We start from the raw sequence: 13,240 nt of genomic DNA on the forward strand, positions 1-13,240 counted from the left end.
TGCACTCCAGCCTGGGCGACAGAGCAAGACTCCGTCTCAAAAAAAAATTTTTTTTTTCTGTCAGCAATAAAGCAGTTTTACTTTTTTTGTCATTCCTATATTCACTGGAGAGTAGCACTTGTAATTTCTGTCAATAACTTTTCCTTGGCATTCACAGCTTGGTTAACTGATTGGCACAAGGGGCATAGCTTTCGGACTATCATAACTTTCAACATGCCTTTTTCACTGAGCTTAATCTTTTCTAGTTTTTGATTTAAAGTGAGAGACATACGACTCTTTCTTTTACTTGAACACTTAGAGGCCATTAAGGGTTCTTAACTGGCCTAATTTAAGTATTGTTGTGTCTCCAGGAGTAGGGAGACCTGAGGAGAGGGAGAGAGATGGGTAATGACCAGTTGGTGGAGCATTCAGAACATATACATTTACCAAGTTCACCGTCTTATATGGGCTCAGTTTGTGGTGCCCCAAAACAATTACAATAGTAACATCAAAGATCACTAATCACAAATCACCATAACAGATATAATAATAATGAAAAAGTTTGAAATATTGTGAGAATTACTAAAATGTGACACAGAGACATGAAGTGAGAGCTTATGCTCTTGGAAAAATGGTGCTGAAAGATTTTCTCAACTCAAGGTTGCCGCAAACCTTCAGTTTGTAAAAAACTCAGTATCTGTGAAGTGTAATAAAGCAAAACACAACAAAACGAGGTATGCCTTTATATTTTATTTCATTTTATTTTTTTAGACAGGGGCTTGCTGTATCTCCCAGACCGGAATGCAGTGGTGCAATTATAGCTCACTGCAGCCTCAACCTTCTGGGCCCAAGCGATCCTTCCACTCTAGCCTCCCGAGTAGCTAGAACTACAGGCATATGCCACTACACCCGGCTAATTTTATTTTATTTTATTTTATTTTATTTTATTTATTTATTTTTTAGCAGAGACGAGGTGTTGCTATGTTAGCTAGGCTGGTCTCAAACTCCTGAGCTCAACCAGTCCTCCTGCCTTGGCCTCCAAAAGTGGTGGGATTACAGGTGTGAGCCACAGTGCCTGGCTGAGTGTGACAGTTAAAGGTTTCTTTTCGGGGTGCTGAAAACATTCTAGTATTGATCATGTTGATGATTGCACAACTCTCAGTATACTAAAAAACCATTGAATTGTGTACTTTAAATGGACGAATCTTATGGTATGTGAATTACATCTCAATAAAGCTGTTACAAGTTAAAAAATAGCAACACATGGCTTGTGGCTACCATATTGGACAGTGCAGGTCTAAAAAGATAGTAAGCAAGTAGAATTTGTCCTTGGGCTCAAGTGTCTTGTATACTTAAGATAAAGTAAAATTTGCACTGAAGGGATAACATGAACAATTTGCCCTTCTTTAAAGATTAAATGCCATGTTTTGTCAGTTAGATGCATATTTTTCATATTTACCACATCTGAAATTGGTATTTTGTAGGTTTTTTTCTTTTGCTCGCTTGGCGGGACATAATATAGATAGCTATATAAAAAACGGTCATGACAACCATGGTGGTGCACCCCTGTAATCATAGCTACGCAAGAGGCTGAGGTGGAGGATCAGTTGAGCCCAGGAGTTTGAGGCTACAGTGAATTATGATTGTGCCAGTTCACTCCAGTCTGGGTGACAGAGTGAGAGCCCATCTCTTAAAAAAAGAAAAAAAAAAATAGAAATGAATGATATCAGTGGTGTATTCTACTTTATGGAGAGGTATCCAAATTCTGTGAAATACTGAAGTAAGTCTCCAGCTTTATACTTGATTTAAAAATACCCATGAATATGATTATTAATTAAATATTCATTCTTCCCCATTGTCTCTCCAAATGTCTCCTTCCTTTCATTTTTCTCTCAATCCTAAATACTGAAAAATGGGGAATTTCAATGTAGTATCAGTGGAGCCCAGTTGGGCAGTTGGAACTGAGGCAAAGAACTGAGGTGTCTGTATTAGAAGGGAAAGTAAGGAGGGTAAGATTAGCAATTTATGGTTTACTAATTAGACTGTGGGCCTAATGTGAAGGTCTGCTTATCAGTTTTAATGTTTTGTTTATAGGGGAAAATTTCCAACCAACCGTCTTATGAATAAAGTTACCTTGTTGAATGTCACGGATATTCATTCACCTTGTAAAGAGCAGAAAAAAAAAGAATGTCACAGATAGTAGGTCCTAATAATAATTAACAAATATATTGATTTTCTAGGACGTGGTATTTATTCCAACATGCTAGGATTCCTTGGTGGTGTCTCCTGGGCAATGCTAGTTGCAAGAACTTGCCAATTGTATCCAAATGCAGCAGCATCTACTTTAGTTCATAAGTTCTTTTTAGTTTTTTCCAAGTGGTAAGTATTTACGTGTGTACTTTGACTGTTTACTAATCTCTACCTATGCGTAAGTTTGTTTGGAAATTTAAGAGCTATACATAGACTTTTTCTGTTGTTTTACATTGCTTTGTAAAGTTGAAAGTATAAAACATCAACTTTGAGGCAATGGTGGGACATCTAATTGGCACCTTCTTCCAGGGATTTGTAAATGTGGGCCTTTAGCTTGGGAGAGCAGTTAAAATAAGTTTGGCTTTGCAAATTACTAGTTATGTAGAGGTCGTTTAAGCTTTCCTCATTTGTAAAATGGAGATGATAATCACATTGATATATTAGTATTTTCAGTAAATGTTGGCTGTTGCTGTTACTAAATTATCGGAATTAAATCCATGAAAGCAAATGAGAAGGAAGTGAAAGATTCAGGTGTAAATTAGTTACAGTTAATGAAAAGTAATATTTGCCCTTTCAGAGAACACTGCATTAAAATGAGCAGCCTTTCCTTTGTATACTTTCTTACCTAGCCTTTTTTTTTTTTTTTTTAATTGAGACAGGGTCTCACTCTGTTGCCCAGGCTAGAGTGCATGCATCTCAGCTCACTGCAGCCTCTGCCTCCTGGGCTCAAGTGATCCTCTCACCTCAGCCTCCTGAGTACCTGGGACTATAAGCGTGCACCACTAGGCATGGCTAATTTTTGTGTTTTTAGTAGAGACAGGATTTCTCCATGTTGCCCAGGATGGTCTCGAACTCCTGAGCTCAGGTGATCTGCCTGCCTCAGCTTCCCAGAGTACTGGGATTACAGGCATGAGCCACCATGCTCGGCCTTTTTTTCCTTTAATACCAAATACCCAGAACATTCACTCTGTAGAAGGTTAGAACAATCTAATAATTATAAAGTTTCATGTAGTACCTGAAGTGAGATCATGTGTAAGTTAATTTGCCTTATTCATGTCAGGGAATGGCCAAATCCTGTGCTGCTGAAGCAACCAGAAGAAAGCAATTTGAATTTGCCTGTCTGGGATCCTCGGGTATGTGATTTATTATGGAGTTTCTTTAAAGCTTTTAAGGAAGAGGACATTTCACTAAATTACAGTCTAGTTAAAGATAGTTCCTCTTGTCTCTGTTCTTCCTTCTATATAACTATAGTCCCCTTCCTCCTTCTGCTGTGGTTTTTGTTTTGTTTTTTGTGCAGATGATTAGGATCACTAATGCTGATCCAAATGTTATGTCATTAAAAATCGCCCATGTAAGATGAGTGGGTGTCTTATGGACAGTGTCATAATCCAGTGTGGAAAAAATGTCTCAAAAGTAATTGGATACTTGGCTGGGCATGATGGTTCACGCCTGTAATCCCAGCTCTTTGGGAGGCCGAGGCGGGTGGATCACCTGCGGTCAGGAGTTCAAGACCAGCCTGGCCAACGTGGTGAAACCCCCTCTCTACTGAAAATATAAAAAATTAGCCGGGCGTGGTGGTGCACACCTGTAGTTCCAGCTACTCTGGAGGCTGAGGCACGAGAATCACCTGAACCCCAGAGGCACAGGTTGCAGTGAGCCGAGACTGTGCCACTGCACTCCAGCCTGGGTGACGAGTTGAGACTTCGTCTCAAAAAAAAAAAGTAATTGGTTACTAATAATAAAGTACTAAAGTATAATAAAAGATTTACTTTGCAATACAATTTAAAGCAAATTCATTGTTCCAGGGTAGCATAATTCTCCCATATCTTGCATTTTAATTTGCTTTTAGAGTGAGTGCTCATTCCTCTAGGTAACCAAGGGGAAGTCATCCATTGAGTGGGTGGTGAAAAAGGATTGAGAACCATTAAACCAGATAATGCTTTTTGTAGTTATAATACTGTATTTCCTTGATTATAAGAGATCATTGTTTATAAGATGCACATCAATTTAACAGCTTTTCTGAGGAAAAATATACTTCTGCAGTATTTCCTTTGACTTTGACTATCAGACATATCCAACTTCAGAAATAAATGCAGTTGGGGAGGGAAAATGTACTTCTTAAACTTGAGGAAATGTAGTATTAAATTTATATTTCATATTCTTCAGACTTTTGGGGAAATGAAGTGAGAACAACTGAAATAGGAGAATAGATCAGTTATTCTGCTTCTAATTTCACAGGTAAATCCATCAGATAGGTATCATCTCATGCCCATAATCACCCCTGCCTACCCACAACAGAATTCTACGTATAATGTGTCCACATCAACTCGAACAGTAATGGTAGAAGAATTTAAACAAGGTAAACATGTGGCCCTGTTGCCCTTTACATATTCCCACAAGTTTTTGGTTAACAGTTTTATTCTCTGTTGCAGCTATGGATTGGCAGTTAGAGTTATACCTATTCTTTCTAAAAATTCTTTCAAGTATGGTTATTTTGTTTTTTAGTAATGAGTTTTCAAAAGTATATGATAATATTAAGGCCAAAAATGGAGCCAGCCCAGTCTGGTTGAAACTAATTTTTTGTGTTCTAAGAAACAACATTATATATATTTATATTTTGTTACTCAAGAGTTTGGTGGGCCGGGCGCGATGGCTCATGCCTATAATCCTAGCACTTTGGGAGGCCGAGGCGAGCAGATGACCTGAGGTCAGGAGTTCAAGACCAGCCTAGCCAACCTGGTGAAACCCTGTCTCACAAAAATTAGCCGGAAGTGGTGGTGGGCACCTGTAATCCCAGCTACTCAGGAGCCTGGGGCAGGAGAATCGCTTGAACCCAGGAGGTAGAGGTTGCAGTGAGCCGAGATAGATCCACCACACTCCAGCCTGGGTGACAGAGTGAGACTCTGTCTCAAAAAAAGAAAAAAAAAAATTTCGTCTGGTGGAGTTTGAGATTTTGTAGTAGTAGAGTGATTTAAGAGCTGGTCCCTTTTCAAAATCATTCTTCTTCTTTTTTTTTTTTTTTTTTTTTTTTTAATTTAGGTCTTGCAGTCACAGATGAAATTCTTCAAGGAAAGTCAGATTGGTCCAAACTACTTGAGCCACCGAATTTCTTTCAAAAGTATAGGTACGTGAAATTTTGTATTTTGTATGTATGTGATTTTTTTTTTTTTAAAGAAGAATGTTAAACATAGTTAATATATGGCAGGTGACAGCTCTTTTATTTCTTAAGCAAGAGAGAATAGATTAACAAAAATCCTAAGAGATAAGAGTGTTTCTTTATTCTGGTAGTATCTAATCCAGTATTAGTGACTTTTTAAAGTGAATTGTTTTTTACTTGTAGGACCTAGAATTAATTTTGTGAAAATCAGAGCACATTTAATTTTCATAAACTGTGTGCCTTTATTAGCTCATTTGTTCAGTGAGAGGGAGGGAAAAAAGGGGATGATTAAAAAGCAGGCTGTAACAATTTTTCTGGCTTTTTTTCCTGATTGTTGCTGAAAATTCTTCAGACATTATATAGTATTGACTGCCAGCGCATCAACAGAAGAAAACCATCTAGAGTGGTAAGACTTCTATTTCAAGTTTTCTACCTACTGTGTGGTGATAGTAACTTATTTATATGGTGCTTTACCATTTATAAAGTACTTTCTTGCTTGATTTTCAAAATTATTATATCTCTTTTTTTTTTTTTTTTTTTTGAGACAAAGTCTCTGTTGTCTAGGCTGGAGTGCAGTGTCGCGATCTCAGTTTCGCCACGTTGGTCAGGCTGATCTCGAGCTCCTGACCTCAGGTGATCCGCCCACCTCAGCCTCCCAAAGTGCTGGGATTACAGGCCTGAGCCACTTTACCCGGCCTTTTTTTTTTTTTTTTTTTTTTTTTTTTGAGAAGGAGTCTCCCTCTGTCACCCAGACTGGAGTGTAGTGGCATAATCTCAGCTCACTGCAACCTCCGCCTCCTGGGTTCAAGTGATTCCCCTGCCTTAGCCGCCTGAGTAGCTGGGACTACAGGTGTGCACTTCTATGCCCTGTGGCTAATTTTTGTATTTTTAGTAGAGATGGGGTTTTACCATGTTGGCCAGGCTGGTCTCGAACTCCTGACCTCAAGTGATCCGTAAAATTATTATATCTTACTGGTGATTGTTGTGCATGACCATGGAGCTTCAGTGTTTAAAATATGCCATCAAATTAATGTTTCAGAATCAGGAGGGACATGAGCAAAAGACACATGTATAGATGTTGCTTCTTATTGCTTCTCAGCCAGATTTAAGCAAAATTTTGAGCTAGTTTGGATGATTCTGATAGCTACCATCTGAGTTTCTCTTTTCTTTGTTTTTATTTTTTATTTTGAGACGGAGTCTCGCTGTGTTGCTGAGGCTGGAGTGCAGTGGCGTGATCTCAGCTCACTGCAACCTCCGCCTCCCGGGTTCAAGCAATTCTCTGCCTCAGCCTCCAGAGTATCTGGGATTACAAGCACCCACCACCACGCCCAGCTAATTTTTGTACTTTTAGTAGAGACGGGGTTTCACCATCTTGGCCAGGCTGGTCTTGAACTCCTCACCTCGTGATCCACCCGCCTTGGCCTCCCAAAGTGCTGGAATTACAGGCGTGAGCCACCACACCCGGCCTGAGTTTTTCATTTTTGCCATTGTGTTTACCTCCAACAAAACTCAGTAGAAAAGACATTTTGTATATCCTTTTAATTTAGGAGATAATGGCTTAAATCTTTCAGATTAAGCTTCCGTCAACAGGTAAGAGATATTTGTGGTCAAGAAGTAGTGTGTTCTTTCTAGTGCATCTAAATTTATCCCTTCTGCCTCTACTATATTCACATCCTTGGCTCTATCAGACGGAAGCTGTTAGACCACCAGAGATGGTTGTACTTTCCTTGGGTCTGACTTCTGGAAAAGCAAAACAGCAATACTGTTTTATTTTTGCTTCAAGAGTTTAATCCTTATTTCATTGGTAATTAAAGGAACTCTGAAAATAATCCTGTCACTGAAACAGTATTTTGTTTGTCTAGATCTGCAGTCAGAAAATAGGGTCTAGGCCAAATTCAGTCTGCCACCTATTTTTATAAAGTTTTATTGGAACATAGCCATGTTTCTTCGTTTATATATTATCTATGGCTGCTTCTGTGCTTCATAGCAAAGTTGAATAGGTGTAACAAAGACTGTATGGCCCAGAAACCCTAAAATTTACTATTTAGCCCTTTACAGAAAAAGTTTGCCAACCCGTCATTTAGATGACACTGGAATAACACAGATTTTTGTAGATTTACTGTTAAAGCACACATAATTATAATGTATAAGCTTTTGCTGATGTTTTTAAAAAATGTTAAAATGTTCTTGTAATGTTTCTAATTCATAAAGTCATTAATAAGCAAGCTGCCATCGGTCACATTTCTTAAGTGAGATAGAAATAAAATTGCAGAAATCCGATGAGACTTGCTGTATTTTAATAGGATGTGATCCAAATTTAGTGAATTCTTTTTTTGTTTTTTGTTTTTTTTTTGATATGGAGTCTTGCTTTGTCACCCAGACTGGAGTGTAGTGGTGCGATCTCAGCTCACTGAAAGCTCCACCTCCCAGGTTCATGCCATTCTCCTGCCTCAGCCTGGCAAGCAGCTGGGACTACAGGCGCCCGCACCTCGCCTGGCTAATTTTTTGTATTTTTAGTAGAGACGGGGTTTCACCATGTTAGCCAGGATGGTCTCAATCTCCTGTCCTCGTGATGCACCCACCTTGGCCTCCCAGAGTGCTGGGATTACAGGCGTTAGCCACCGTGCCCAGCCCGTGAATTTTTTTAAATGCAAAGTCAAGCATGATTGTTTCATATATTATGTGCCAATATTAGTTTCATTGTTTAAACTTATCTTAGCCTTAGGATTTATTTTTTTTTTTAGAGACGGAGTCTCACTGTCACCCAGGCTGGAGTATAGTGGGGTGATCATACTGCAACCTCAAACTCCTGGGATCAAGCGATGCCTCCTGCCTCGGCTCCCCAAGTAGCTGGGGCCTGCAGGCCCTTGCTACCATACCTGGCTGATTTTTTTTTTTTTTTTTATCTTATAGGGATGGAATCTCACTATGTTGCCCCAGGTGATCTCGAACTCCTGGCTTCACGTGATCCTCCCGCCTCAGCTTCCCAAAGTGCTGGGATTAACAAGCATGAGCCACCGCACCTGGCCTAGCCTAGCCTTAGGTTTGAGACATAAGATTTGAAGGTAGAAAAAGATTCAGGACTAGATAAACCAGCAGTTTTTGTTCATGCCCTAAGCCATGACTGTTTTATAGTCTTAACTAAGGGTATTTTAGATTCAGGAATGCATTACATAGATTAGTTCTTCTATTAAAAAAAAGAACACACAGAAATCTACTAACTTGTCATTTACTACAATGGCGTTTTAAATGGGGTTCCTAATATATTGGGCTGAAATTTTTAAATGAACATGTAAAGATTCATAGGTAATATGCTGTTTGGTTTACTTGAGTGTAGCTTTCATATTTAAAGTTGATATAAAATCAATTGTGTTTACAATTGCATTTAAAATGGGGTTCCTAATATATTGGGCTGAAATTTTTATTTTATTTATTTATTTATTTAGAGATGGAACCTCACTCTGTCACCCAGGCTGGAGTGCAGTGGGGTGATCTTAGCTCACTGCAACCTCCACCTCCCAGCTTCAAGCAATTCTCGTGCTTCAGCCTCCTGAGTAGCTGGGAATATAGGTGTGCGCCATACTCGGCCAATTTTTTTTGTATTTTTAGTAAAGACAGGGTTTCACCATGTTGGCCAGGCTGGTCTCGAACTCCTGACCTCAGGTGATCTGTGCACCTCAGTCTTCCAAAGTGCTGGGATTACAGGCATGAGCCACTGCACCTGGCCTGAAATTTTTTTTTTTGAGACGGAGTCTTGCTCTGTTGCCCAGGCTGGAGTGCAGTGGCACAATCTCAGCTCACTGCAACCTCCACCTCCCAGTTTCACGTGATTCTCCTGCTTCAGCCTCCCAAGTAGCTGGGATTACAGGCACTCACCACCACACCCAGCTAATTTTTTGTATTTTTAGTAGAGACGGGATTTTGCCGTGTTGGCCAAACTGGTCTTGAACTCCTGACCTCAGGCGATTCACCCACTCTTGCCTCCCAAAGTGCTGGGAGTACAGATGTGAGCCACCATGCCCAGCCCGAAGTTTTTTAATGAACATGTAAAGCTTCGTAGTTAATATGCTGTTTGGTTTACTTGAGTGTAGCTTTCAAATTTAAAGTGGACATAAGATAAATTGTGTTTGTTGTTTATTTTAGGGTTGGATTAGTAGAATCTAAAATCCGTGTACTTGTTGGAAACTTGGAACGGAATGAATTTATTACTCTTGCCCATGTGAATCCCCAGTCATTCCCAGGGAATAAGGAACATCATAAAGAGTAAGTTAATTGTTTTATAATACTTTATTTCTTAAATAATGTTATTTGGTATATGCATCATTTCAGAGTAATTGTGAGATTTTTGTTTAACAGGCATTGATGGGAGTATGACACATTATATATTTGAGTTTGAGTGTCTAGGCATTAAAAATAAGTACATAACTACTTTGGTAGCCCACAAACCCCAGCAAAACACCATCACAATATTTGGAGCATCTTTAAGAATATATTTAGTAAGTCATTTTCATAGCTGCTTAATCCTTCTCAGAACAACAGGGGATAACTTACCAGTTCTGGATGTCACTTTTAAGAATCTGGCCAGACCACTGAAATCTGTATTTGTGAGATAGAGACATAGAGACCAAGTTTTAATTATGAAATAGCATCTGTAAAGTTGTAAAAAATAATAATAATTAATGGAAATTCTTAAATTTTACTTTATAGCAACAATTACGTATCAATGTGGTTCCTTGGGATAATTTTTCGGAGAGTAGAAAATGCAGAAAGTGTCAACATAGACTTGACATATGATATACAGTCATTTACTGATACAGGTAAGACTCCATCATCATAGAGCTGTGATTCTCAAACCTGGCTATTACTCAGTGTCATCTGCCTACAATCTGGCTGGCTGTACTTATTAAAGTTCCACAATTGGTTAAGTGAACATGGCATATCCGTATTGCTGTTAAAACAGGAAAGGAGCCGGGTGCGGTGGCTAATGCCTGTAATCCCAGCACTTTGGGAGGCAGAGGCGGGCAGATTACCTGAGGTCAGGAATTCGAGACCAGCCTGGCTAATACGGTGAAACCCCGTCTCTACTAAAAATACAAAGTTAGTAGAGTGTGGTGGCGGATGCCAGCTGCTTGGGAGGCTGAGGCAGGAAAATTGCTTGAACCTGGGAGGAGGAGGTTGCAGTGAGCCGAGATCGCCCCACTGCACTCTGGCCTGGCCCACAGAGTGAGACTGTCTCAAAAAAAGAAAAAAAGAAAAAAAAAAGCATTATGAAGCAATTTCCAAGATATATTAAGTGGGGGGTAAAATTCAGAACACTGTGTACACTGTGCTATTTATATAAAAATAAAAGAAAATAAATACACATTTGCTTACAAATGCATAGAATATCTCTGGAAGGATACTTAGTTTAAAAAAAATGGCAAGACTGGTTGCTTCTAGGTCAGGGTACAGGATAAGGAGACATCACTGAATACTCTTCAACGCTTTAAGTTTTGTAGCATGTGAATGTTATCTGTTTTATTTTATTTTGTTTTAAGAGACAGAGTCTCACTCTGTCACCCAGGCCGGACTGCAGTGGTGCGATCTCAGCTCACTGCAACCTCCACCTCTGGGGTTCAAGTGATTCTCATGCCCCAGCCTCCCGAGTAGCTGGAATTACAGGTGCGTGCCACCAGTCCTGGCTAATTTTTTTATTTTTAGTAGAGACGGAGTTTCACCATGCTGGCCAGGCTGGTCTTGAACACCTGACCTCAAGTGATCCTGCCTCGGCCTCCCAAAAGTTCTGGGATTACAGGTGTGAGCCACCTCGCCTGGCTGAATGTTATCTGTTTTAAAACAAAGAAAGGAAAGCTCTTTGTATGTACAACCGGGGTTTGTGATCACAGTCTTAAAGATGACTTGATTTTTGCCAGGCACGGTGGCTCACAAGTGCTTGTAATCCTAATACTTTGGGAGACTGGGATGGGTGAATCTCTTGAGCTCAGGAGTTTGAGACCAGCCTGGGCAACATGGTGAAACCCCATCTCTACAAAAAATACAAAAAAAAGTTTGCCAGGTATCGTGCCTTGTGCTCCCAGCTATCTGGGAGGCTGAGGTGGGAGAATTGCTTGAACCCAGAAGGTCAAGGCTGCAGTGAGCCGAGATTGCGCCATTGCTCTCCAGCCTGGGTGACAAAGTGAGATACTATGCAGCCATAAAAAATGATGAGTTCATGTCCTTCGTAGGGACATGGATGAAATTGGAAATCATCATTCTCAGTAAACTATGGCAAGAACAAAAAACCAAACACCACATATTCTCACTCATAGGTGGGAACTGAACAATGAGAATACATGGACACAGGAAGGGGAACATCACACTCTGGGGACTGTTGTGGGGTGGGGGGAGCGGGGAGGGATAGCTTTAGGAAGTACACCTTATGCTAAATGACGAGTTAATGGGTGCAGCACACCAGCATGGCACATGTATACATATGTAACTAACCTGCACATTGTGCACATGTACCCTAAAACTTAAAAGTATAATAATAATAAAATAAAATAGAAAATAAATAAATAAATAAAAAATAAAAAATAAAAGACTTGATTTTTATGGGTTTTTTGTTTGTTTTAAATAGAGACAGGATTTCGCCATGTTGCCCAGGCTGATCTCGAACTCCTGGGCTCAAGCAATTTGCCCACCTTGGCCTCTTTAAAGTGCTGGGATTACAGGTGTCAACCACCGCACCTGGCCAGACTTTTATGTTTTTGATATGAAATAAATATCAGTAAGTACAGAATTGCTGAATATATTTCAGGATCAGTGAAAAGTATGTCTTTCACATCTAGCCCTCTAGTCACAACTCTGGAATATCTTAATGTATCTGTTATAAATTTGGGGTTATTTATCTTAAGAATCTGGAATAGTTATACATTCATACTATTAAAGGTATTGGCTTGGCTCATCTGGGTTTTCTGAATTCTTTTGAAAGAGCCCTCATATTTATCATGAAAATGCAGATTCCTGGCTGGGCGTGGTGGCTCACGCCTGTAATCCCAGCACTTTGGGAGGCCAAGGCGGGCAAATTACCTGAGGTCTGGAGTTCAAGACCAACCTGGCCAACATGGTGAAACCCCACCCATCTCTACTAAATATACAAAAATTAGCCAGGTGTGGTGGCGGGTGCCTGTAATCCCAGCTATTCCAGAGGCTAAGGCAGGAGAATCGCTTGAACCTGGGAGGCGGAGGTTGCAGTGAGCTGAGATCTCGCTGTTGCACTCCAGCCTGGGCAACAAGAGCGAAACTCCATCTCAAAAAAAGAAAAGAAAATGCAGATTCTTATGTTTCACCTTAGAACCATTAAATCACACTCTGGGGAGGGAGCCAGAGAATCTGCAACTTAAACAAGCACTCCTGGTAACTCTTTCATAATCAATCTGGAATAAAAACATTCGCCATAAATTTTTCCATTCTAATTAGGGCTTAAATTTTTTAGAAAGGATAAGACTGGGACATAGTTTATTATAAATTTATAAGATATTATTTTTCAGATTAAGAAACTTGAGGCCCCAAGAGATTAAATAATTTACTACATCTCACAGTACTTGCTGTGTAAAACAAGCCTCCCATCCCTGTCTTCAGTGGGCTTATAATCTCATTGAGTATATTTACAATTAAAACATTAAGAAATTTGTGTGGTAGTTAATAAAACCTGTTTTTTCATTGGGTATATTTACAATTAAAACATTAAGACATTTGTGTGTGAGTTAATAAAACCCATTTTCTTATAAGGCGTGAAAAGCACTAGAATGGGAATCTAGGGCTGTGTGGATTCTGATCCTGGCAAGGTATTCAGAGCTGTTTAGCCTCCTTTTC

The 13,240-nt window shown here is 39.7% G+C and overlaps 1 protein-coding gene across 4 annotated transcripts in view; it reads left to right on the top strand.

Moving 5' to 3' along the window:
* PAPOLG (poly(A) polymerase gamma) overlaps positions 1-13,240 on the top strand; it is a 45,819-nt gene that overhangs the window by 21,150 nt on the left and 11,429 nt on the right. For 3 of the 4 annotated variants that reach the window (NM_022894.4, XM_005264500.5, XM_005264501.3), the window contains exons 9-15: positions 2,220-2,358; positions 3,290-3,362; positions 4,468-4,588; positions 5,269-5,353; positions 5,739-5,792; positions 9,530-9,649; positions 10,094-10,203. In NM_022894.4, coding sequence (NP_075045.2) covers positions 2,220-2,358; positions 3,290-3,362; positions 4,468-4,588; positions 5,269-5,353; positions 5,739-5,792; positions 9,530-9,649; positions 10,094-10,203 — 702 coding nt within the window. The remainder of the gene's footprint in view (positions 1-2,219; positions 2,359-3,289; positions 3,363-4,467; positions 4,589-5,268; positions 5,354-5,738; positions 5,793-9,529; positions 9,650-10,093; positions 10,204-13,240) is intronic. The other variant, XR_007080681.1, reaches the window with a different exon arrangement.

This window comes from Homo sapiens, chromosome 2 (genome assembly GCF_000001405.40).
Source record: "Homo sapiens chromosome 2, GRCh38.p14 Primary Assembly".
NCBI classification, from domain to species: domain Eukaryota; kingdom Metazoa; phylum Chordata; class Mammalia; order Primates; family Hominidae; genus Homo; species Homo sapiens.